The 25,216-nt window shown below is 37.1% G+C and overlaps 1 long non-coding RNA gene across 2 annotated transcripts in view; it reads left to right on the plus strand.

Annotated features, from left to right (window-relative positions):
* LOC102723803 (uncharacterized) overlaps positions 1 to 21,139 on the plus strand; it is a 182,624-nt gene extending 161,485 nt beyond the window's left edge. The window contains exons 4-8 of one of the 2 annotated variants that reach the window (XR_002956872.2): positions 4,391 to 4,481; positions 10,788 to 10,947; positions 15,813 to 15,876; positions 16,757 to 16,904; positions 21,103 to 21,139. This is a non-coding gene — a long non-coding RNA (uncharacterized LOC102723803). The remainder of the gene's footprint in view (positions 1 to 4,390; positions 4,482 to 10,787; positions 10,948 to 15,812; positions 15,877 to 16,756; positions 16,905 to 21,102) is intronic. The other variant, XR_929415.3, reaches the window with a different exon arrangement.
* Positions 21,140 to 25,216: the final 4,077 nt, after the last annotated feature.

Consider the following 25,216-nt stretch of genomic DNA (forward strand, 5'->3'; position numbering starts at 1 on the left):
AACGCAAGCACATACATTCAATAAGATAATGTATTTTATAATACATTTAATTTAATTAAATAATACTATCCTGCCATAGCACCTTACTAGAACCCAGAAAACAGAACATGCTAGTGTCACTCTTCACTCCTAACATAGATTTAAAGAAGGTGGTGATAGTGACCATTTGTGGTCGCTACGACACGTCCCTTGAAGGGTCTTACTCTTTCTCTCCAACGAGGTTATAAAAGCGCCCAACCACACACAGTACTTTTCCCGAGAGGTGCTCTGATAAATCTACATTTTTCTATCTAGTGCACTATTTAGCCAGTGATGATTTAGTGCACCTTATAGTAACAAGGCAATTTCCCAGTTGACCTGCTTCTTAAAAGTGCTTTTTCTACAAGTTCTCTTATATGCATACTTAAAAATTGCAGTTTTCAAATTCACTTTACGCTTTCTCATTAACTCCACAGATATTTGAGGACTGTCTGCAATTTAAATGTGCACAGAATGAGACTCAGAAAGGTGGAGACTCCCAGGTATGATGGGAAGGAGAGAAATGGAAAGTAGGCTGTGATCCTCTTTACCACTAGGGGGTCCTCTTGCACACCCGGTGAAATGCTTTGTTTAATTTGCAAACATTCTACTGGTTCAGAGACCAGTAGAAATGGACGAGTGAGGGTTTGAGGCAGAAAGGAGTGAGGCGTGGATGTATTTTGGGGCCCCTTGAATGCTGCAGACAGCAGAAACAAACAAACAAAAAACCTAATAAGAGGATAAAGCTTTTTAGGGTATTTTCCTTATCAGGGTATTCTCTTGGATAACATGCCTTGAAGGCAGCAGAAGGAGCCTATGCTTTGTGCTTCAGCTTGGTGTGGACACAGAGCATGGGGAAACACTGGAAGGAACACAGGAAGAAAAGCAGGCGGGGGGTTGGGGTCATATTTAGCTTTGGGCACTCTAGGCGTGAGGAGCATATGGGACACCAGGTAGAGATATCCCATCCATAGGGATCTGAGGCTCGAGGGAGCTGGCCTGCAGTAGATGTATTCATTCAGGGGTCATTGGCCTTGAGGTAGAAGTTGAAGTGGTGAGAGTGGAAGAGCTTTCTAGGGAAAGATAGGTAGAAGGAGAAAGATAACAGAACTAGAACAGACCTCATGGGAACCTTGTACAGTCCAGGCTAGGCAGAGGAAGGGGAGGAAGCAGAAAAGACTGAGAGGAAGAGGCGAGTGGCTCAGGAGGCCACCTGACTCTCGGTGGACCAAGAGGTCTGAATTCCACAAAGTAGGTTGCTTAGGGATGTTAAAGTGCTTTATGGAAGTCAAAGGGCAAAGGGATTTAAGTAGTGGCTATTGGATCTGTCAATCAGGAAGTTATAGAAAACCAACTGATACCTTACAGTCTGCTTCTTGTGTCCAGAAATGGCACAAAAATGTATCAGACTGTGTGTCTCAGTTTTCTAACACAAAGCCCCCAGCACACACGTTCGAGATAGAATTGTTGCTCCTCTGTGCCCCCGTCCCTGCCCCCCGCCATGCCTGAGCTGCCCTTTCTCTCTTCTCTCTAACCATTTTATTTTTACTCCTTTCTCAAGGTGTGACTCTCTCCTCCCTCCTTCTCCGACCAGCCTCCTGGCACTTGCTACTAAGACACTTGTTGTCTCTTAGCCTTTGTGTGCTCATTACCTCAATTAAAGGCCCATGCTGGTCATCATCTATTTGAGGACAGGAGCAAGGTTTTCTTTCTTATTCTGTTTGCCCCAGCTTTCAGCATGGGGCCTGAAATACAGGGAAGACTCAGAAATTATTTGAACGATTGTTAAATATTTGCTGCTTACATTAGCACAATTAATATAATCTTGGATTATTAGAATTTGAGGGGCCCTTGACATCATAAGAGACAACACATTCATTTTATTTCAGTTTCCAAGAGAAAAATAGAAACTCTGAGTTTAGTAACAAGACTTCACAGCTTGAAAGTGAAGTAGTGTGAATTTGAATCCAGGCCTGTTTAATTTCAGAGCTCATGTTCTTGCTGCTACTCAATGCCGTTGTCTCACCAGCAGCCCATTATTTGTGCATTTACCAACTAAAATAAAACGTGCATTTAATGAAGTTCAAAGTTCAATTTGGTAGGGTGCACGTCTTTCTACCAAGGTCACCTCATGCATTCTCATGCATTCTTTCTCTTGGTTGCATTTCTGCCATTTCCTTTGCAAATTAGAGTGGCACCAGGGAGATAAATGTCAGGCTTCTGTGGCAGGCTGGGAGGTCAGCAACTTGGTGTCTGCAATTCACACAAACCACAATAATGGGAATGGAAAGCGCAGATGTTTGTCTAACAATTATTATACTGAGCGGGAGTACAAGCAGCCTCATCTTTGCAAGAACAGTGTGTGTCTGTAGATCTTTCCAAAGGGGGAGTAGATTTTTCCCCTAAAGTTTTTCAGATCAGGAAATAAAAGTGGGCTTCCCAGAATCAGCAAGGGAAAATCTCCTGTCTTTAATTAGCAGGCACTTTGGTGTGAAGAGACAGTCTTCTTGGACTGGAGTGGGAGTGGATGGACAATAATTTCTGGACAATGTAAATGTTAAGAAATGAGGCATTTGGACACTACCTAGAATCATGTTGTCCTCAGATGACCCACCTAAATCATAGGAAACCCTGGAGCTGGTGCTCAGTGGGGCCTAACAGCTGACAGCTGGGCAGTAACTCAGGTCAACTGACGGGGACAAGAAGGTACAAACTCCTACTCATCCCTCAGGACCCCATGTAAGCCTTTTTTTCCTCTGTGAAGCCTCCCCAATAACCCCAGGGGCAGAGTGAATTATCCTGAAAAGCACAGATGGCCTTCCACTGTGTTATGCCTTGCACCATATTGTATTTATCCATGATTAAGTATCTCTCCTCCCTAGGACCGTGAACTTTCCAAGGTAGGGCTGACTCTTATTCAACTAGGCCTACCCAGTGCCAGCTACTGTCCTTGGAACACCAGAGGAGTTCAGTAAATGTGTCAAATAAATGAATGACAAATCTTGAGGTGCTGAGAGCTGACGTTTGAATGAACTGTGGCACGTATTTTTATGAGCTGTAAAAAATGGGAAACACTTGTGACACTAAGCTTCCCTTTATTTATCCAACTCAGCATTGCTCACAAAGCATGTTTACCTACATTAGTTCATTTAATCCTCCCATAAATCTTGTGTGGTTGGGAGGGACAACACTTTCCTTATTATATTGATCATAGAACTGAAGCTCAGAGAGTTGACACAATTCATCCAAGGTCACACAGCTAGCAAATTACACAGGGAAAAGGAGGCAGAGGGGTGTAACATGAAAAACAGTGATTTATTCCCTCCTTTTGGCCTTCTTCCCTTCATGCCTCTTCTCCTTCCCTCCCTATCTCCCTCCCTTTCCCCCTCCTTCCTTCCTCCTTTCCTTCTTCTCTCCCTCCCTTTGTTCTTTCCTTCCGTGGATCAATCCTATAATTGAATCTTGGCCCAGTTTTCTTTATCTGCATAAAACTGAGAGTAATCTTTTCCTTTCTGACCTCACTTTCCTTATCTGTGAAGTGGGGATAAGGATAAGCAGCCTTTCATTGGAGGCAATGTAATTATAATAGATAATAAGTAACATGTATGGGTTACCATTTGCTTTGCAGCCTTTTTTTTTTTTTTTTAACTTTCAGAACAGTTTTGCATTTACAGTAAAAACTGTGAAGATAGTACAGGGAATTCTCTTATACCCCACACCCTTCTGGCACTATTTTTGAGTGTTTCACATATATTTTATTCACTTAAAGCCCATAATAACCCTGTGAAATATCAGCCTCATTTTATAGACAAAGTCATTCAACTGAGAGGTAAAGTGATGTTGCACCAACTGCTAAATGGCATTGGAGAGGCCAAGACACAAACAGGCTTGGAAGTCTGACTCCAGGTCTATGCTCTTAACTGCTGTGCTCTCCTGCTCCCTGGGAGGTGAGAGCATAGGCCCGGGCCTAGCCATGCTGGGTGTGTCATTAGACTTAGGACCCCAGTCTTTAAAAATATAGTCTAATCTCCTCCTACCACACCCATGGTGTTGTTGACAAAACTGATGGAATCACCTTTTGTCATTCCTACCTACCATTTAGTTTTCAACATTTAAAGTTGCCTTTGTATTTACTTAAAATTGACTTTTCTCAAATGGAAATTTTAGGAACAATAGAACTCATCATAGATGTTTTTGGCATCTCCCTAGGGACATATAACCCATAAATCACCCAGTTTTCTAGTTTTCCTTAAGAATCTGTAATGTACATTGAACCCTGAGTGCAGCATGCTGAAACGGAGTCTTTTTGGAATGTAGTGAAGTCAGGGCTATTGAGACATGTGTTTACGTATATGTACCTTCTCTCTTCCAGTAAAGGATGACAGAGGGCACAGAAGCCACCAGCAGATTCTTTGGAAGGAAGTAACAGGAGTGGAACTTCATTTTCCCATGGATTGTAAAGGGTGAGAGAAAAGCCATATAAACGCCTAGCCTTCCTAAAATGCCCTTTAAGCTTGTAGTGAATGATAGGCATTCCTGGCAGCAAAAACTTATTTTCAAGAGGGTCTTTCAGGTTTGAGAAATGAGGTAGTGGCTATGATATTTCAGGAAAAGGGAAAGGAGCATTTTTTGATGTTTTGGGGAATATTTTGATGTCAATCATTTTTAACTGATATAAGAAATTCCAAGGGGAAAGCTGAACTATTTTCAAATGACTGTTGTCTTTTGAACTATGCTTTTTGAACAGCCTGCTACTCAGAAACACAATGTGTGGGATATACTTATATTTCCATTATACAGAACTTTTATTGCAATGGTCAGATTAAATAGACACATCCTACACAGTTTTATTATAGTAACTGGAAAGATTGTTTAACTGGGACTTTGGAATAGCAACAAAAATTGTGTAGAGAAAAACTTACCTCACTCTGCAATAAAAACTATATACACTTTGGAGTTGATTTAGTATAAGCATATAATCCTGTTTTGAAAAATATACAGGGTGGTCCTGCTATTGATTTCCAGATTCTTCTCACCCAATGATAGATGAGAACCTGTTTTACTCTGGTTTAGTCCAAAATCTTCTGCTGGCTTTTTGTTAATTCTCATGACTAGTTGTCTTGTGTTCCATCTTGTCCCTACTTGCTGTGGTTAAATTTTGTATTATCCTAAAATGTGTATGTTGAAGTCCTAAGCCTTGATGTGATGGTACTTGGAGGTGGGGTCTTTGGGAAGTAGCTAGGTTTACATGAGGTCATGAGGATGGGTGCCCTGTTTTGGGATTACTGTCCTCATGAGAAGAGGAAGAGAACAGAGATGGTTTTCTCTCCCCTATGTGAGAATACAGTGAGAAAGCAGCCATCTTCAATCCAGGAAGAGGCCTTTACCAGAAACCAAACTTGCTAGTACCTTGATCTTGAGCTTCCTGGCGTCCAGAACTGTGAGAAATAAGTGACTGTTGTTTAAGCCACCCAGGCTGTGGTATTTTGTTACAGCAGCTTGAGCATGCTAAGACACAAGTTAAACTGGTCTATGCCAGGAGTGACAGCTTCTTGAATCAGGCGTCTTACTTTCAGTGTCTCCTTTTGACATCCCAAAGTTCATCTTCAGTAAAGTATTTAATAAGGTCTCACGAAAAATTGTCCCTGCAAATTTCGATTTTGCTTTCTTCCAGTATGACTGCAAACTAACAACTGTACCTGCAGCAGCCTTTGTTCCACACAGTTTCCTTCTCTGCATTTTGCTCTAGCTGCTCTGAAGGGAGGGGGTGATGTTGTTTAATAAGGAGCAATTACTTCTCCAATGGACTCGGCAGTAAAACTGGCTTTTACAGCTGGACAGAAATATGTAAGCCATGAAGTTTCCTATGTAACACCATTAAGTACTCCGGAAACAGCATGACTTGGTGGAGTGCCACAAATTAACCACTTCATATCCAATAACCTATGGTCTATAAGCATTATTACTTAAACAATTAGAAATATTAGGGGAGAAAGATATTTCACCACTTCTGTCCTAAGTATTGAATTGAGCCTTTTCCTGATACCTCGAGAAAATGTGCTAAATCATAGAGCAGAGGGAAGTATGTGATAAGTACCTTCATTCTTAAAGAGAATGCCAAGGATCTCCTATATATTTGCTCAAGGCTCCCTTACCACCCAATGCCCCATATCTCAGACTATTTCAAGTGAGGAATAAAATGGGAAGAGGGCTCATGGAGGTAGAGAGCTTTAACTTGTCTAGTAGATACAACTAATTACTTTTTTTCTGGTTGGAGATGGTAAAGGAATGCTGTGTCCTAGGCCCAAACCAGGTCCAAGTGTGGGTGGTTCAAGAGAATCACTCATCATTGACATCGTAGATGACAATGTAAAAAGCCTGCAGGAAGGGGAGAGAGCATCTCAATTTCAGGCTGTTTACTGAGGAGGCAAAAGTTGTAGGCCCACTCATGGCACCAGAGCAAAGCATGGTGAGAGAGATACTAGGAGAACTTGTGTCACCTGCATGTACACAAAACATGCCTCTTTCCACAGAATTGTAAAGGCAGCAGTTTGGCTAGAAGAGCCAGTGATGGGAGGGCAAGGGAGAGTCAAAGTAGAGCATTGCATCCTCTTATTGGTTGATACGGCCAAGATGTGGAGCTTCCTAGGGCCAAAGTGGGTGCTGCAGAATGTGACCAACTCTAGCTGTCTTGTTGAAATCCAAACCAAGAGCACAACTTCTAGAGCAAGGGGACTTCAGTAAAAGAGACTGTAGAGTGACCCTCTGGGGCAGGAGCTGGGAGTGAGGAGTATGTTGAGGTCAGCAGAAGAGCACCTCATCTATGTCAGGGAACAGTAGTGCAGGTACCTAATGGATCTCTGAAGCACCCCAGAGCTTTGTGTCATGACAAGGCCAATGTTTAAACATGCACTACACATTTGCTGTTTTCCATTTCCTCTCCTTTCATCCTGAGGAACCCATTACAGAATGGGAAGAATCAAGGAGAAAAGGAAGGAGTGCACCTCATCTCCTTTCAGTGTAGGCACCTGAGCATAGGTCAAGCCTGAGTTGGAGGAAGGAGGGAGGGTAAATTTTATGTGAAATCAGAAGATCATTTTTTAATATCTGGGAGTCAATTTTAATGAAACAGGATATAACAAATGTAAGACTGATGAAGAACCTGAAACCTAGTCTAGATGAAAACATTATTGAAGAATGCCTCCTGCTATTAAAAGAAAAAAATCGCAAAGGCTGAAATGTCTGAAAATAAATGGCTAGATGTGATGAACAGCTAACAACAAATTGAGAACCAAAATCTATACCATATTTTATATAATAAATCTATGTATAAATTTAATGCATAGAATATTCACGGAAAAAAATTAAATCATGATGTAAAGGAATAACCTGCAATAATTATAGTGAATGCAGCATAAAAGTAAAAAGAGAAAAAAATTAAAAAGAAGTGGATAGATATGGAGAAGCCAAGTATAGTCCAATAAGTATCAACTGACATTCCTAAATAATAGAATCTAAAAAATTGAACCATTCAAAGACATAATGCTGGAAAAATCTTCTGACATAAAAGAAGAATTTCACAGGCAAAGCAAAAAATTGAGTGCCAGGAACATTTGATTCAGAACGATAAATATCTAGACATATTCTGGCTAAAAGAATTAATGTAAACAATGACAAATTTTTTAAAGAAAATGAGTAGGAAAACAGGTCATCTACAATAAAACAAAAATCAGGCTTAAGTCTTCTTTATAGCACTATTCTATGGCAGAACACAAAGGAGAAATGTCTACAAAGTTCTGAAGGACAGAAAATAAAAGCAGACCCAGGAATCTTGCATCTATCTACTTGTTCAAATATAAACAGAACTGTCAATCTCAAGTATACAGGAAATCAAGGAATATAGCACTCGTTAGCACTTCTTAAAAATCAACTCTGCAATAACATCTTGCCCCAAAAAAAGATGAACGAAAAGAAAGAGCTCAGGAACAGAAAATACTTGGTAAATCTAAATATAAAATTAATTTAAATTTGAATATAGTATAAATTTAGTAAATTGAGCAAAGATAGCTAGAGAACAAAATGAAAAAGAGTTAAACCATGGCAAAGTAAGTGTGCTATATCATCCTATATGGAGAGAGAAGAGAGGGTGACAGGAAATGGAAATATTTTAATCTGGTGGTAGTGGGAGAGACAGTACTTCCTAAAATATTTATCTAAAGTTCAAACAGAAATTATGAAACAATTAAGAGATTGGAAATTTTCTTCTTAAACTTCCTTAAGTCTCTATTTCAGACAATATAGGTGGCTACTTTCTCATAATGCATCTGAATGTATAAGACATACTTACAAAAAAACTATTAATAATTATATTGAACATGGTTATCAAGTTATTAAAAAGAATTGTTTGATATCAAAATAATTTTGCTTCTTTATTAATGCATTAAATAACCAAATCCAATAGTGGGTTTAATAAATATTATAATTTTAAAGAAGTGACAAGTGTTAATGGTATTTTGAAATATCTGAAACACATGTAACGTGATACGAAAATGTCTGTCACAGGTACTATCAATGCTACTATGATTTGCAGTCTTCCTTCATAGTTGAATGAAATACTAAATTTCAATTAGAGCTTAGCAAAAATGAGGATGTGATTTTTTTTTCCTCATTCAGGTTCACAGACCATCTGAATTCTTTCTTTCCACAGGTTTCCAGGCATCCTTAGACTTTCATATTAAGAAATTCTTTTCTAATGCTAACATAATTTAGACTCTCATAATTTTTTCATACTTGAAAAATAGTCTTAAATATATGAATAGATGAAATTATTTTTTCCTCTGTCCTTAAACAGTGATGAAATGAATCACTTTTCCTCTCATTATATTCAACTTCCAGTGATTGATTTGTAGATTACAGTATCAGTTTTAAGTGTCCTTATCTTGATACATTTAGATTATGAAAAGAAGAAAAGGCTAGGAGAAAATTTTGTTTTCAGTCTGAATTGCCTTAGGTAGGTTATGAATATGGGAAATAAGAGATGTGGCATTTGCTTGCACACAATGCCTTCTTTCTGGTTTCTTGGTGCTCACTAGCACTATATTGGGTGAATGAGAAATTCCCAAAGAGTTGTAGTTATGGCCTCTATAATTCCTAGTGGCATTAAACATTTCAACACAACAGAATTTGAAAATAATACATCAGTTATAATTTGCCTACCTGAAACCATTGAACTTTGTCAAGTAGAAAAATACCATATGTTCAAACAACTGACTCTACTGAAGCTGCAACTTTAGAGACAAACAGAAGGAAACGCAAGTCTGGGGGGCATAAGGTAAACCTTGGCAAAGTGACTTTTTTCTAGGATGAGAGCCTGGTAGACATTTAGATTGTTTTATAACTAGGATTCTCTGCAGGATGTGGGATAAAAAGAATTTTACTGCCTGTCCAATGAATCGAACCGGTTTTTTATTCATACATTTTTGAGGTTCACTTGAACTTGACTTTGTCCTCAAACTCCCGTGGCCACTCTGGCTTCCTGTTATTATCGGCCAATGAGTCCAAAATGTATCATTTTCTTCCTTGATTCCCAGATGGTCTGTATATGCTGTTCACTCTTATACTGCATGTTGGGCTTGCTCTGTCAATCAAAGATAGACTATTTCTTCCTAAAGCAGCCTGCTTGGGTGGTCAGTTGGCCTCCGGGTTTCTATATAATAATGTAAGATGAGAAATTACTCAACACATGCTGAGTTATACGAGGAACATTAATGGGACGCTTCCTGGGATAGAAAACGATGGCCCCTTTTTTGCCTTTGAGTTCTTTAAAGGTTCCACTGAAAACACTTTAATAAATGTAGGAGTCAGGCAATAAATGCCTCATTTTTAAATAAGCAACTCCATTGTGATTTAGACAGCAGACATCTCACAGTTCTTAGGCAAAAGTATCAACTTCCAGGAATTTGTTTTCAAGTATTCATTTACAATAGCAAGAATAAAATATGCTACTGGATGCCGGGTGCTGTGTATTGCAGTGGGTTTCTGCCAAAGCAATAATCATAACCTATTTGCCAATAAGGTTCCAAAATATATAATAGATTTCTAGGTAGTTTGGTGTGCAGTGAATATTTATAATTGGCAGTGTCTATGTCTATGGTGCAGAAGTCTGTGTAGTGTAAATAATAAAGTTAGTTACCAATGAATAAAGTAGCGCTCAACTCTAGGAGTGGCTGGTATCTTCTGCATTCGTGAGAGATCAGAGGAGATTAACAGAGACTTTCTGAAAACAAAGACAGGTATGACAGACTTTGAATTCACAAGTATTGCACTAGACTCTTCTATAGCAATATGTAAATTACCTGCCTGTGTCTCCTGGTGAGTAAGCATATTCTAAGAAGGCAGAAGTAGACTCATTTTTCATGAGAGAAATCTAGAAAAGAAACAAAGTCATGAGAAAGTAGAACTCCCTTGAGAATAAAAGAGAAGAAGGTGCAGAAATGGTGACTTCATAAAAAGATGAAACTAGCAAGCACTATGGAATGTCCCTTTATATCTGCATGCAAGAGTTTGGCCAATGTTGCAAGAGATGATATCTTCTGAGTTAGCAAACATAGTTTGTTGGAAGCATTTATATTTTAATTAAAATCTTGCATAACTTATATCAATTTCCTACTCTCAGTCTTCCATGTTGTTGTGTAGGTATTCTTTAGATTAGATTAACATTTAAATCAGTAGACTTTGAATAAAGCATATTACCTTCCAATCAATTGAAGGTCTTAAGAAAAAAACTAATTGAGCTCTCCCTGAGGAAGAAGAAATTCCAGTCTGGCAGCAGACTGGCTTCAGACTTCAGCTGCAACATCAGCTCTTCCTTGGATTTCCAGCCTACCTAACTACTCTGCAGATTTTGAACTTGCCAGCCTCCACAATCATGTGAGCCAATTCTTTGAAATAAATTGTTCTCTCTCTTTCTCTTTTTTGTCTCTGTCTCTTTCTCTCCCTCTCTTCACACACACACACACACACACACACACACACACACACACACACACAATTAGTTCTATATCTTCGGTGAACCATCACTACTATAGGTCCTTACCAGAGTCTCTTTCAAAACGATAGAGGTCTCCAACTCCAGAATACCCTCATGATATGTTTGGGGGACTGGACAAAAATTGGAAGTGCTGGTGAGCCCTTTTGTATTTGAGGCCTGAAATGGGAAGTGGCCCTAGCCCAGGACAAGCAGGTTAAGGCAGGTTCTATTCATTGGCAGAGGTCTCAGCACAAATGGAGCCTATGTTCCCACATCAGCTTTTGCCCAGGAAGTAACTGTGTATATAAATGGAGCTGGGAGCAGCTAGTGTGATGCCATCTCTCTATGCCACCTCCTATCTCTTATTATTGCTGTCATCTATTTACCAGTGGGTTATGCCACTGCAGCCCACCCTCAGTTCCCTGACAACTTTGGCTCCTCACCCTAAATCTATTGCCATTTTTTGTGACTTCAACATCTACAACAGATGACCCATCCAACACCTGGTTCTCATTCCCTTACTTCCTTATATCCAACAACATACTATTTATTTTCCACCCCACCACAGTCAAGTTTCATCTTGGACCTTATCATCACTGGTGACTGCTCCAATTCCAACATCTCAATTTCAAATTTCACTCACTCCATACACTTCTTTCAGCTGACTTGTTCTAATATCCCTCTTCTACAATTCTTTGACCAAGAAGACCCACAACTCCCTTGATCTATTGCTTTCTCACTCTCTGTCCATGTCTTCTTGTTTTGCCTGCCCCCATTCTTGTTCAATTTATCATCATCTGGTTCCCATTGTGCTAACACCATGGCAAATGCCTTCAACTATGTGGAGGAAAAATGCGTGCATCTCACTGAGCATTTGAACCTAGGGATTCCTAAAAGACTAGGCCCTCATAATTTTGAAGGGTAGTATATTCTTAGGAAAGGTGATGAGGTAGCAGGGGCACTTAAAGGCCTTCAGGGAATTGGTAACAGATTTATCAGCAAGTAAATTAAAAGTAAAAAGCATTTTTGTTAGTTTATTTTAGTTTATCGGGTTGGGGGCTCCTTGTAGATGGCAAGAATTAACCTTGACTTTCTGAATCCCCTCAACTGAAGTAACTTTATGCAGCCACCAGATCTGAAAATCCTTCCCTTGTTCTAAATGCAAACGAATAGAAAGATTTTTTAAAAAATAACATTTAGGCATTTTGTGGGACTTTTTGTTTCATATTGAGTAAAGACATATATCATCACAGTTACATTTGCTGGTGGCTGACTGCTCACTTCCAAAATCATCTACTCGTATTTATTCCAAGGGGTTGGTAGTTCAAATAATCTGTAAATTATCTGCTCATGTTGGTGAGCTAATAGCCACATATAACTATTTAAATTAAAAATAATTGAAATGAAAGAAAATTAAGAATTTAATATTTTGGTCACATGAGCCATATTTCATGTGCTCAGTAGCCATATATGTCTAGTGGCTACCGTGTTGGACAGTGTAGAGAAACTTTCCATCATCACAGAAAGTTTTATTGCACAGGAGTAGAGACTACGGCCCCAGGCCAAATCTGGCTCCTGGCTTATTTTTGTATAACCTGCAAGCTAGGAATAGTTTTCACATTTTAAAAAGATTTTAAAGAAAAATATGTGACAGAGACTGTATGTGGCCTGCAAAGCCCTAAAATATTTCCTATCTGGATTTCTACAGAAGAAAGATTGTCAGCTTTGTCTTAGATAACAAAACACTTAAATGTGGATGTTTGTGTAATGCAGTTTGGAACGTTACTGCTCATGGTCAAGAATTTTATTTGTCACTATATTATGGTATGCAATTTAGTATAATACATGGTTTATGCTATTGAGCACTAATTCAATTAAATACTGAAAAAAAATTAAAACGTCAGTTGCTAGAAATGCTTAGATGAATAATGCATTCAAGGAATTCACATTTTGTTGGAGTAGGTAGATGTACAAAATTCTACCTGTAGCATTAATTAGACTATAAGTACTACTAATAATGGTATTAGACACAATGGTATTCGAGAGGAGAGCAGGGAGTGAAGAATTCTGACTAGGGCTGTGTTGCTTGGACGTAAAGAATGCAGCATCTAAGTGGGACTTAAGGATGAGTATGAATTAAGTAGGGAGGCAGGGAGAAAGGAGTTCCAGGCTATGGAAGCGGCAAAAGCAAATGTGTGGTGTGTGGTGAAAACACATGGGGCATCTGAAGAAATGTCAAGTAGCTGAATGTGATTAATCATAGCCTGAAGAGTAAGTGATGTACCAGGGAAACAAATAGGAATCAGAGTTGGTATTTGATGAGAGATGCTGCTTTTCTATTACTAGGCAGTGAGTGGGCAGACTCACAGGTCCTCAGAAGAAAGCCCTAATCTGTTGGGTACCTGAAGTATTACAGAAAATGATATAACCATTTTTTAATCCCTCTAGGTTTGGTATCTGTATTTACCAGATGTGATCAAGGGCTTTGAAGCTGCAGGAATGGTAGATTCAGGGACACTGTAGCAATGGGAAATTGACACAGCCACCTCTAATGATTTAGCTTGACTTAGTATTTTTCAGTTTCCATGTTGCGTTGGGCACAGCAAGTCATGTTTGGTGGGAAGAAGGATTGTAATGGTGGTCACAACCAAACAATTCTGAAGGTACAACCATAAAAATGTATATTTTGCCTGAGACTGCAGAAAAAAAACTGAAAAAAATGTCCCCCTCTGCACAGGAATTCTGCACTGTTGAATTCCCAAGAAACCAAGCTGAGTGATAGAGTCAATGTAAGAATCATAATACTATCTAAGAATAGTATTATGAACAGAATGGCATTGGATCTGATGAACTTGTACCCCTTCCACCTGCATTTGCTGGAGTTTTATGATTGTGAACATTTGACAAAGGGCTTAACTGAGCCCTCTGAAATTCTAGTACTTTGTTTCTGGGAGCAAAGCAAGTAGCCTGTGAGCTTCTTAAATAACAGGCATGGTTGATCCAAAACTCATGAGAAAGAGTTTGGATCTTTCCCTTTGCTGCATGATGACATCCAATGTCTTATTATTAGCTGCATTTGTTTAACTTTTTCATTTTATTTAAAACACAAGAGACTATCTTCTTTAGCCAATGGCCACAAGGACCAACTATAGGATAGGTTATGCCAAGTTTAGAACCTATTCAAAATTCGTGGATATGAAGTTTCAACCTAAACTCAAACCTTTTGGTGTCTGTGTTAATTTATATCTGGCAAACAATAATTTCCAGATTTTAAAAAGGAAAAACAAAACAAGAGAAACCTTCCTTGGAAGCATATATTAAGGCCTCTTCGATACTGTATACTTCTGAGGAAAAAAAAAACCCACTGATGTTTTAAGAGAAAGCCAATAAGAAACATATGGATTAAATTGCCCTCAAAAGACAGAAAACTTCAAAAGTTAGGAGGGAATAGGACTTTCCAAAAACCTGCTGATGTTTTAATGACCCCAAACTTTGTAAGAAAAAGGGATAAGCCCAACATATAACCATAAAGTGAATGTTTTTATTTCTAGCCAAAATTAATAATCACCAATTTGTCTCCCATTATCTCTGCTTCATGGATGATGAAATTGAGAGAGTATGTTGCTAAATCATGCCACAGGGAGATATAGGATTCAGATATCAGATGATGATGTCATTGCCCTTGTTTTTGAGTATGAGAAAAGGAAACTGCTGGAATGGTTTGCCTGGAAGTCCTAGACATAGCGACCTGGCATCCTGGTGAACTTCTCCAATCCTTTGGTCAATTTTCCCACAGAAAAGGACAAAAGAAACACTGGTTATCCATTAAGTCTAGATTTTGGGCCACACGCAAGGGATTATAAGGTATACTCTTTATATCTTGATGTAGTAGTGCTGCATCACCAATACATTTCATGTAGTAAACTCAACTCTGAATGCAGTCCAAAATGTAAACAGAGAGAGGGGGAGCAAAAGGACAAGAAAATGCAGGTAATTCCAGTGCCATTCTACTCAGTGAGCTTGAGATGGGAGACCAATCTCTTCAACCTCAGCTGATCTCAATTCCTAAGTAACTTTCCTAGTGAGCTCATCTTGCTTCACTGAAAGTAATTCTAGTGATTAAATAAACAGACATAAGTATTTATAGAAAATGACCCGAGTGTAAGCCACCTACTACAACTGCAGCTTGACTAAAGAAATGGTGATTTATTTTCCAAAGATAACTGTAATGGATTCACTGAGAAACTGTACATTGACTTGCCATGTGGCCCCTTTCTAAAGACTTTTTCAATAACAATTTTGATATCCTGCATGTTCCTTTTCTTTCGCCTTGACTTTAAAATTAAGCCCCTGCATAAGATGGTGTGACAGATATTTATTTATTTATTTATTTTTTTACTATAGTTGCTGCATCGGCATTCATTTCTAGGCCTAACATGAGTGTTTTGAAACCCAGTAGTACCTTTGGACTAGTTAAAATTTCCCCTCTCTGTGCATTTGTTTGTGAGATAGCCCACTTGCTCCTCATCCCACTGACAAAACACCAAGACACCTCACAGCTGCTGACCACAAATATCCCAAATGATCAACACCAGGGTCATGTAAATAAATTCTCCACTTCCCACGTGTTTCTGTAAACTAGCCAATCCACAACCCCTGAGGGAAAACCTAAGTGTTATCACACGTGGACCTTAATAAGGGCATAGTCCCAAATGCTTTTATTGAGAGGTCCACGGGTCGTCTTTTTCTCTCCCCTTACCTGCAGGCTGGGCTCCCTTCCACCTCTTCTCACTGGCCTCCTGTTTGTACCCCTGACCTCTCCGGGATCTGTAAGTAATATATTTATTCTGTGTCATGCATTTTGGGCTTACCTCTTCGTGTCTCAGCTGACTGACACACCCCAATCCAACTTTTCCCCATCAGGGCTCTCCTAGAAAGTGGTTATCTTGGCTTATGGCCCCTTGAAGTCTAGAAAAGACTAGAAGACCAAATTAAAAATAAACCATAACAATAAAAATCACAGCAGAAGGAATTTTTCCACTATGACCCACCTGCAGAAGCCCAGTAACTGGATAAAGACGAAGGAAATTCAGAGAGATGGGAAACTATACCCATGGTATAGCATTTTCAGTTAATGTTCAATAGAAAACATTAAAGGATAGAAGATAGAGCTGCTTACAATAAAAACACGGACAAGAGGCAGGCTTCGCCATAGGGGTTTCTTGTATATATTATTTGTCTCCCAGATATTAAGCCTAGTACCCATTAGTTATTTTTCTTAGTCCTCTCCCTCTTCCCACTCTCCACCCTCCAATAGGCCCCAGCGTGTGTTGTTCCCCTCTATGAGTCCATGTATTCTAATCGTTTAGCTCCCACTTATAAGTGAGAACATTCAGTATTTGGTTTTCTGTTCCTGTGTTAGTTTGCCGAGGATAATGACCTCCTGCTCCACCTATGTCCCTGCAAAGGGCAAGATCTCATTTTTATGACTACGTAGTATTCCATGGTGTGTATATACCACATTATCTTTATCCGGTCTATCATTGGCTGGCATTTAGGTTGATTCCATGTCTTTTCTACTCGGAATAGTGCTGCAGTGAACATACACGTGCATGTGTCTTTATGATAGAAGGATTTATATTCCTTTAGGTATATATTCAGTAATGGGATTGCTGGGTTGAATGGTATTTCTGGTTTTATGTCTTTGAGGGATCCCAACACTGTCTTCTGCAATGAAAACCCTGATTTTCTATATCTGGACAAAAGACTAGGACATAACGAGAATTTTAGCGGAAGGAACTGAGGGAGAGAGATTGCACAGCAGACAAGGACAAATAAAGGGAAGGTGGAAACAAGGGTAAGTGGACTTGCCAAAGAAATAGGCTTAATAGGAAAGAATTGTTACATGGGTATGTTTATGACTTTTAAGCATTTGACTTGCAATAAGAGTGCAGTTACTGTTTCTAATGGAAAATGGCAGACACTAAAAATACTGAAGATCGGCCGGGCGCGGTGGCTCACGCCTGTAATCCCAGCACTTTGGGAGGCCGAGGCGGGCGGATCACGAGGTCAGGAGATCGAGGCCATCCTGGCTAAAACGGTGAAACCCCGTCTCTACTAAAAATACAAAAAAATTAGCCGGGCATCATGGCGGACGCCTGTAGTCCCAGCTACTCGGGAGGCTGAGGCAGGAGAATGGCGGGAACCCGGGAGGCGGAGCTTGCAGTGAGCCGAGATCGCGCCACCGCACTCCAGCCTGGGCGACAGAGCGAGACTCCGTCTCAAAACAAAAACCAAAAAAAAAACAAAAAAAACTGAAGATCAGTTATGAAGGTGAGCAGTGATTGAGATTAAAAAACAACACAGGGTTTGGTGTCAGATAAAGAAAGTGAGAATTATAACGATTTTTATCTGCAAAATGGCTATAATAATAGTGCCCAGGTCACTGGATTGTTAAAAGGCTTAAATGAGGCCCAGCATAATGCTCGGCAAATAGGATGCAGAAAAACCTGATCTTTACTTGGGGGTATTCAGAAATTCTCTACATTTAGATATCTTCCCAGATCTCATAAGACCTTGAAATAAAACTCCATCTTCCTGGATATAGAAAGTAAGACTGGATGTAAGCCTTTGGGGTTAAAATAGGCTTGAATTTGAATCATTTTTACATCTCTAGCTTCTTGATACCCCTCAGACAATACCTCGATCTAACTTTCACAGTTCTTGTGAGGATCAAATGAGGTAATATATACATTAAAAGACTTAACACATGGTTTTCACTTAGAGAATCTTTGTTCCTTTCTCCTTCACTTTTTGTATTTTTGAAGTATCTTAAATAGCTTTAATAGGACTTTTTAAAAAGTTAGAATTACTTTTGCTCGTGATAAAGATCTGACATTTTTAACCGAAAGATGGCTTCAAATATTTTTAATTAGCATTTTCTAAAACTACAGATTTTGAATTTATAACAACCTTTATCACTATGTTTTCAAATATATTCCATCTTTTCACCTCAGATTTGTTTGACTACCTAATATTTGTGTGCGTGTGTGTATATAAATACATAAATTCAAGGGCAAAGAAAGTACTTTTGCTAGCTTTACTGAGGTATAATTTACATATAAAATCCATCAATTTTAAGTGCCTATACAATTCAATCAATTTTGACAATTGCATAAAGTCATGCAACCACGGGCACTATTCGGTTATAAAATATTTTCAGCACTCTAATATGCCTTCTGGCAACCCCTTCGGTGTCAATGTCTTTGTGCCACTACTGGGTCTCTGGTAAGCACTGATTTCTTTTCCTTAAAATATTTTCCCTTTTCTAAATGTTTATATTACTGAAATCATAATGCATATAATCTTTTTTTCACTTAGCATGAAAATGACAGGATTTCATTCTTTTTATGGCTGACAGTACTCCACTGACTATATATACACCACATTTTGTTTATGCGTTGATGGACACTTAAGTTGATTCATATCTTTGCTATCATGAATAATGTTTCAGTAAACATGTGATTGCAGGTGTCCCTTTGATATACTGATTTATTTTCCTTTGGGTAGATATCCAGCAGTGGGATTGATGGATTGAATGATAATTCTATCTTCAGTTTTTTGAGAAATCTTCATACTGTTTTCCATAGTAGCTAAACTAGTTTACATTCCCACCAACAGTGTATAAGTTCCCTTTTCTCCACATCCTTGCCAACATTTGCTACTTTTTGTCTTTTTATTCATAGCCGTTCTCACTTGGGTAAGGTAATATCGCATTGTGATTTTGATTTGTATTTATCTGATTAGTGATGTTGAGCATTTCTTCATGCACCTATTATCTGTTTGTATGCCTTCTTTTGAGAAATATCTATTCATGTTCTTTTCCCACTTTTAAATTGAATTATTTGTTTTTTGTACTGTTGAGTTTCTTGTATATTCTGGATATTAATCCCCTGTTGGATGTATAGTTTGTAAATATTTCCTCCCATTCAACAGGTTGCCTCATCACTCCATTGATTATTTCTTTTGCTTGAAGAAGCTTTTTAGTTTAATTATGTCCCATTTGTCTGTTTTTGTTTCATATGCTTTTGAGGTCTTAGTAATAAATTCTTTGCCTAGACCAATGTTCTGAAGAGTTTTCTCTATGTTTTATTCTAGTAATTTTATAGTTTTAGGTCTTACATTTAAGTCTTGAATCCATTTTGAGTTGATTTTTGTATGTAGTGAGAGACAAGGATCCAGTTTCATTCTTGCGCACGTGGCTATCCAATTTTCACAGTAACACTTATTGAAGAGGTTGTCCTTTCTCCAACTTATGTTTTTGTGTGTTTTGTCAAAGATCAGTTGATTGTTAAGTATTTTGCTTTGTTTCTGGATTTTCTATTTTGTTCTGTTGGTCTATTTGCCTACTTTTATACCAGCACCATGCTGTTTTGGTAATTAGCCTTGTAGACTTGACGTCTGGTAATATGATATCTCCAGCTTTGTTCTTTTTGCTCAGGATTGCTTTGGCTATTTGGGCCCTTACTTGCTTCCATATGTATTTTAGGATTGTTTTTTCAAATTCTGTGAAAAATGGTGTTGGTACTTTTATAGGGATTGCATTGACTCTAGATTGCGTTGGGCAGTATTATTTTAACTATATTCTTCTGATCCATAGCAAGGGAAGTTTTTCCTTTTGTTTGTATCATCTTCCATTTCTTTCCTCAGTGTTTGGTAGCTTTTCTTCTAGAGATCTTTCACCTCCTTGGCTAAATTTATTCCTAGGTATTTTATTTTTGTGGCTATTGTAAATGAGATTGCCCTGTTGATTTCCTTCTCACCTAGATTCTGATTGGTGTATAGAAATGCTATTGATTTTTGTATGTTGATTTTGTATCCTGCAATTTTACTAAATTCATTTATCAAATCTAAATTTTTTAGGGAAGTATTTAGATTTTTCTAGATATGAGATTATATCATTAACATAGAGGAACAGTTTGACTTCCTCTTTTCCAATTTGGATACCTTTTGTCTCTTGCCTGATTGCTTTGGCTAGGACTTCCAGTACTATGTTAAAATAGGAGTGGCAAAAGTGGGCATGCTTGTTTTGTTCTACTTCTTAATGGACAGCTTTCAACTTTTCCCCATTCTGTATGATGTTAGAAATGAGTTTTTCATATGTGGCCTTTATTATTTTTAAGGTACATTGCTTCTATGCCTAGTTTGAGAGTTTTATTAATCATGAAAGGGTATTAAATTTTTTCAAATCCTTTTTCTGCTTCTATTGGGATGATCCTATGGTTTTTGTCCTTCATTCTGTTAATGTGATGTATCGTTTTTATTGATTAGTGTGTGTTGAACCATCCTTGCATCCCTGGTATAAATTTAACTTGATCATGTTATATTTTCTTTTTGATGTGCTGTTGGATTGTATTTGCTAGTATTTTTCTGAGGAGATTTTCATTTATTTATTCAGGATATTAGTTTATAGTTTTCTTTTTTTGTTGTATCCTTTTGTTTTGATATCAGGGGATGCTGGCTTTGTACAATGAGTTAGGGAGAATTTTCTTTTTTTTTTTTGGAATAGTTTGAGGAAAATTGTTATTAGTTCTTCTTTTTATGTTTAATAGAATTTGTCTGTGAATCCATCCATTCCCAGGCTTATCTTTGTTGTGAGATTTTTTTCGTTTTTTTAAATTTAATTTTATTATTATTATACTTTAAGTTTTAGGGTACATGTGCACAATGTGCAGCTTAGTTACATATGTATACATGTGCCATGCTGGTGTGCTGTACCCATTAACTCGTCATTTAGCATTAGGTATATCTCCTAAAGGAGATTTTTTATTACTGATTCAACCTTACTACTCATTATTGGTCTGTTTGGGTTTTCTTTTTTCCTGGTTAAATGTTGGTAGGCTCTGTGTGTCCAGGAATTGAATTTTCTCTAGGTTTTCCAGTTAGTCAGAATATAGTTGTTCATAATAGACTCTGATAATCTTATTTATTGCTGTGATATCAGTTATAATGTCTCCTTTTTAATTTTTCCTTTTTTTTTTTTTTTTTTGATACAGTCACACACTGTTGCCCAGGCTGGAGTAGAGTGGCGTGATCTCGGCTCACTGCAACCTCCGCCTCCCAGGTTCAAGCGATTCTCCTGCCTCAGCCTACCAAGTAGCTGGGATTATAGGTGTGTGCACCGAGGTAATTTTTGTATTAGTAGAGATGGGGTTTCACTATGTTGGCCAGGCTGGTCTCGAACTCCTGACCTCAGGTGATACACCCACCTTGGCCTCCCAAGTTGCTGGGATTTCAGGCTTGAGCCACCATGCCTGACCTCCTTTTTAATTTCTGATTTTGTTTATTTGGGTCTTCTCTCTTCTCGGTTATCCTAGCTAGAAGCTTATCAATTTTTTCTATCTTTTCTAAAACTTTTTGTTTCATTGTTCCTTTGTAATTTTTAGACTCTTTCATTTAGTTCTGCTCTGATCTTTATTTCTTTTCTTCTGTTTTGGTTTTCTTTATTTTTGCTTTTTTGCTTGAAGTGGATTGTTAGGTTGTTAAATTGTAATCTTTCTACTTTTTAAATGTAGGTAATTGTTGTTATAAGCTTTCCACTTAGCACTGATTAGCTGTATCCCACAGGTGTTGTTTCCATTTTGTTTTAAGAATTTTTTTGTTGATTTTCATAATTTCTTCATTTACCCAGTGGTCATTCATGAGCATGCTGTTTAATTTCTGTGTATTTGTATAGCCATCTTAAAATTGATTAGATAATTCCATTGTATTGTCAGCTCATAATTTGTTTAGACATTAACAGGTTGATAGACATTTGCATTATTTCATTTTGAGGATATTGGGAATAAAACTGCCATGCACATAAATGCATAAGTCATTCTATAAACATATATTTACATTTCTCTTGAGTAAATATCCAGATGTGGAATTACTAAATCTCATAGTAAAAGTTTGCTAAAATTGATAAGAAACTCTTAAGCTGCCCAAAAATGATTGTCGCATTATGCTTTCTCACCAACAACATAGAATAAACTTTAATTTCTCCATCTCTCTCAGAATACTTGCTGTTGTCAATTTTTTAAATGTTAGTTTTTCTAATGGATGTGAACTACAACACAGTGCAGCTTTTATTTGTATTTTCCTAGTGACAATTATGTTGAACACATTTTTACATGCTTATTTACCATTCACATATAGAGTGACCATTCAAATCTCTTACCCAAATTTTTTAGTTGTCTGTCTTACTATTGAGTTATAAGAGTTTTTATAGATTATAAATACAAGTATTTTGTAGGATATATATTTTGCAAACATATCCATGTGTATGTACATAAAGAGTTCGCAATTTTATTTTCTTGATACTATCAAAGAGCAAAATTTATTAATTTTGGCAAGATATAATTTCTCCTTTATATGTCATACTGTTTATGTCTTATTTTAAGAAATATTTGCCTAACCCTAAGTTTTACTGTTCATCTCCTACCTACTTTTTCTTCTAGAAGTTTTATTGTTTTAGCTCTTTTATTTAGAGTCTCTGATCCATTTTGACATATTGTATGAGGTGAAGGTCAATGTTATTAGTTTTTAAAATATGGAGGTACCATCATTCTAATACAATTTGTTGAAAAGAATTCCCTTTGCAATAGCACTATTTTGGCACATTTGTCAACCCTCGATATCCAGTATATGTGTAGCTCTGTTTTTGGACTTTCTGTTTCATTGGTCTATGTATCATTCCAATACCAGCCTGTCTTTTTTTACTGTAGCTTTAGAGTAGACATTGAAATCAGTGTGAATCTTCCAACTTTGTTCTTCATTTTCTTCGTTTGTATATTCTGGATCACTTGGGTTTCCAATGGATTGCAGCATCAGCTTGCCAATTTTTACAAATCATTTGGACTCTGGTTTCTCCTCAGATCATATAAATCTTTCACCTTTACGAATAAATCAGTTGGGATTTTGCTTAGAAATGCATTGAATTTATAGGTCAGTTTGGAGAAAATAGACATTTAGCAATATCAAAACTTATGATCAGGTGAATGATACAGCTCCCCACTTTTAGATCTTATTAATTTGTCTCTGCAATCTTGTACGGTTTTCAGTAAATAGGACTTGCACATATTTTATTAAATGTATTCCTGTATCTTGTGTTTGATGCCAGGGTAATGGTATTTAAAAAATTTCATATTCTATTTTTACTAATTATAGGCCTGTTCAGATTTTTTAATTTCATTATTTATTCACATGGTAGGTTATATTTTTCTAAGAATTTATCCATTTTTTTTAGGTTATCCAATTTGTTGATACATAATTGTTCGTAACAGTCTTTTACGATCCTTTGTACTTCTGTGGTATCAGCTGTAATGTCTCATTTCTGATTTCATATCTTTGTGTCTTCTCTTTTTTCATAGTCTAGCTAAGCACTTGTCAATTTTGCTTAGCTTTTCAAAAAACCACCTTTAGTTGTGCAGATATTTTTAAATGATTTTTTTGTCTCTATTGATATCTGTTGAAATCTTTATTTCCTTCCTTCTGTCAATTTTAAGCTTATTCTTTTTTAAGTTCCTTGAGGTGTAACATTAGGCAAGTTTCTTGATCTTTTTTGATGTAGGCATGTAATGCTATAAACTTTCCTCTTGAGCTGCTTTTGCTGTATCCCGTAACTTTTTTGTGATGTTTCAATTTTCATTTGTCTGAAGGGGTTTTTTAAATTTCCCTTTTAATTTCTTCTTTGACCCAATAGTTGTTCAGAAACATATTGTTTAATTTCCATGTATTTGTGAATTTTCCATGATCTTCCTATTGTTTTCTAGTTTCATATCATTCTGATCAAAAAAGATACCTGATATGAATTCCAATTCTAAATTTGTTAAGGCTGGTTTTGTGGCGTAACATATGATCTATGCTGGAGAATGTTCCATGTGTGCTTGAGAAGAATGTATTATGTTGCTGGATGGAATATTCTGTAGATTACTAGATTCATTTGGTCTAAAGTGTAGTTTAAGTCCTATGTTTCTTTACTGATTTTCTGTCTGAATGATCTATTGTTGAAAGTAGAGTATTGAAATCCCACACTATTATTGTGTTGCAATCCACGTCTCCCTTCAGATCTCTTAATGCTGGCTTTATATGTTTAGGTACTCTAACATTAGGTGTAATATGTAGTTATAATTGTTAATGAAATTATATATATACATATATTTACAATTGTTATATCTTCATAATGAATTGACACCTTTATCACTATATGACGTTTGTCTCTTTCCATAGTTTTTGACTTAAAGTCTCTCTTGTCTGATATACAGTTACCCCTGTTCTCTTTTGGTTTCCATTCCCATGGAATAACTTTTTTTGCCCCTTTATTTTCAGTGTATAAGTGTCCTTTAAAGTGAGGTGAGTCTTTTCAGGTAACATACAGTTGGTTCTTATTTTTATTAACTCAGCCAATCTATATCTTTAGTTTGAAAAATTTAATCCATTTACATTCAACATAATTATTTATCACTTAAAAACTCACTAGTAAAATTTTGGGTCTTTTTATGGTTCTTTTGTAAATCCTTTGTTCCTTCTTCCTCTATTGCTTTTTTCCTTTATGGTTTTATGGTTTTTTATAGCGGTATACTTTGATATCTTAAATCTTTTGTGAGTCTACTTTAGGTGTTTGCCTTCTGGTTATCCTGACGCTTACATAAAACATCTTATACTTAAACGGACTATGTTCAGCTGATAACAGCTTAATTTTGATTACATATACAATTTCTACACTTTTACTTCATCTTCTGCCATGTTTTATGTTTTTATGTCACAATTTACATCTTTTTATTTGTATCTGTGAAAAATTGTAGCTATAGTTGTTTTTAATACTTTTGTCTTGTAACCTATACAGATAAAATTGATTTACATATTGCCATTACTGTATAAGATATTTGAGGCTAATCTATGGAAATATAATTGAGTTTTATGTATTGGCCTAGTATCCTACAATCTTAATAACCTCACATATCATTTCTAGGAGGCTTTTCGTAGACTCCTTAAGATTTTCTTCATAGATGATGATATCCTCTGTAAATGAAGACAGTTGTAATTCTTCTTCTCTGGTCTGTGTCTGTTTATTCTTCCTTTATTGTGCTGGCCATGATTTACAGTATAATGTTGAATGGAAATCATTAG

The sequence above is a fragment of the Homo sapiens genome, chromosome 9, assembly GCF_000001405.40.
Source record: "Homo sapiens chromosome 9, GRCh38.p14 Primary Assembly".
Classification (NCBI taxonomy): domain Eukaryota; kingdom Metazoa; phylum Chordata; class Mammalia; order Primates; family Hominidae; genus Homo; species Homo sapiens.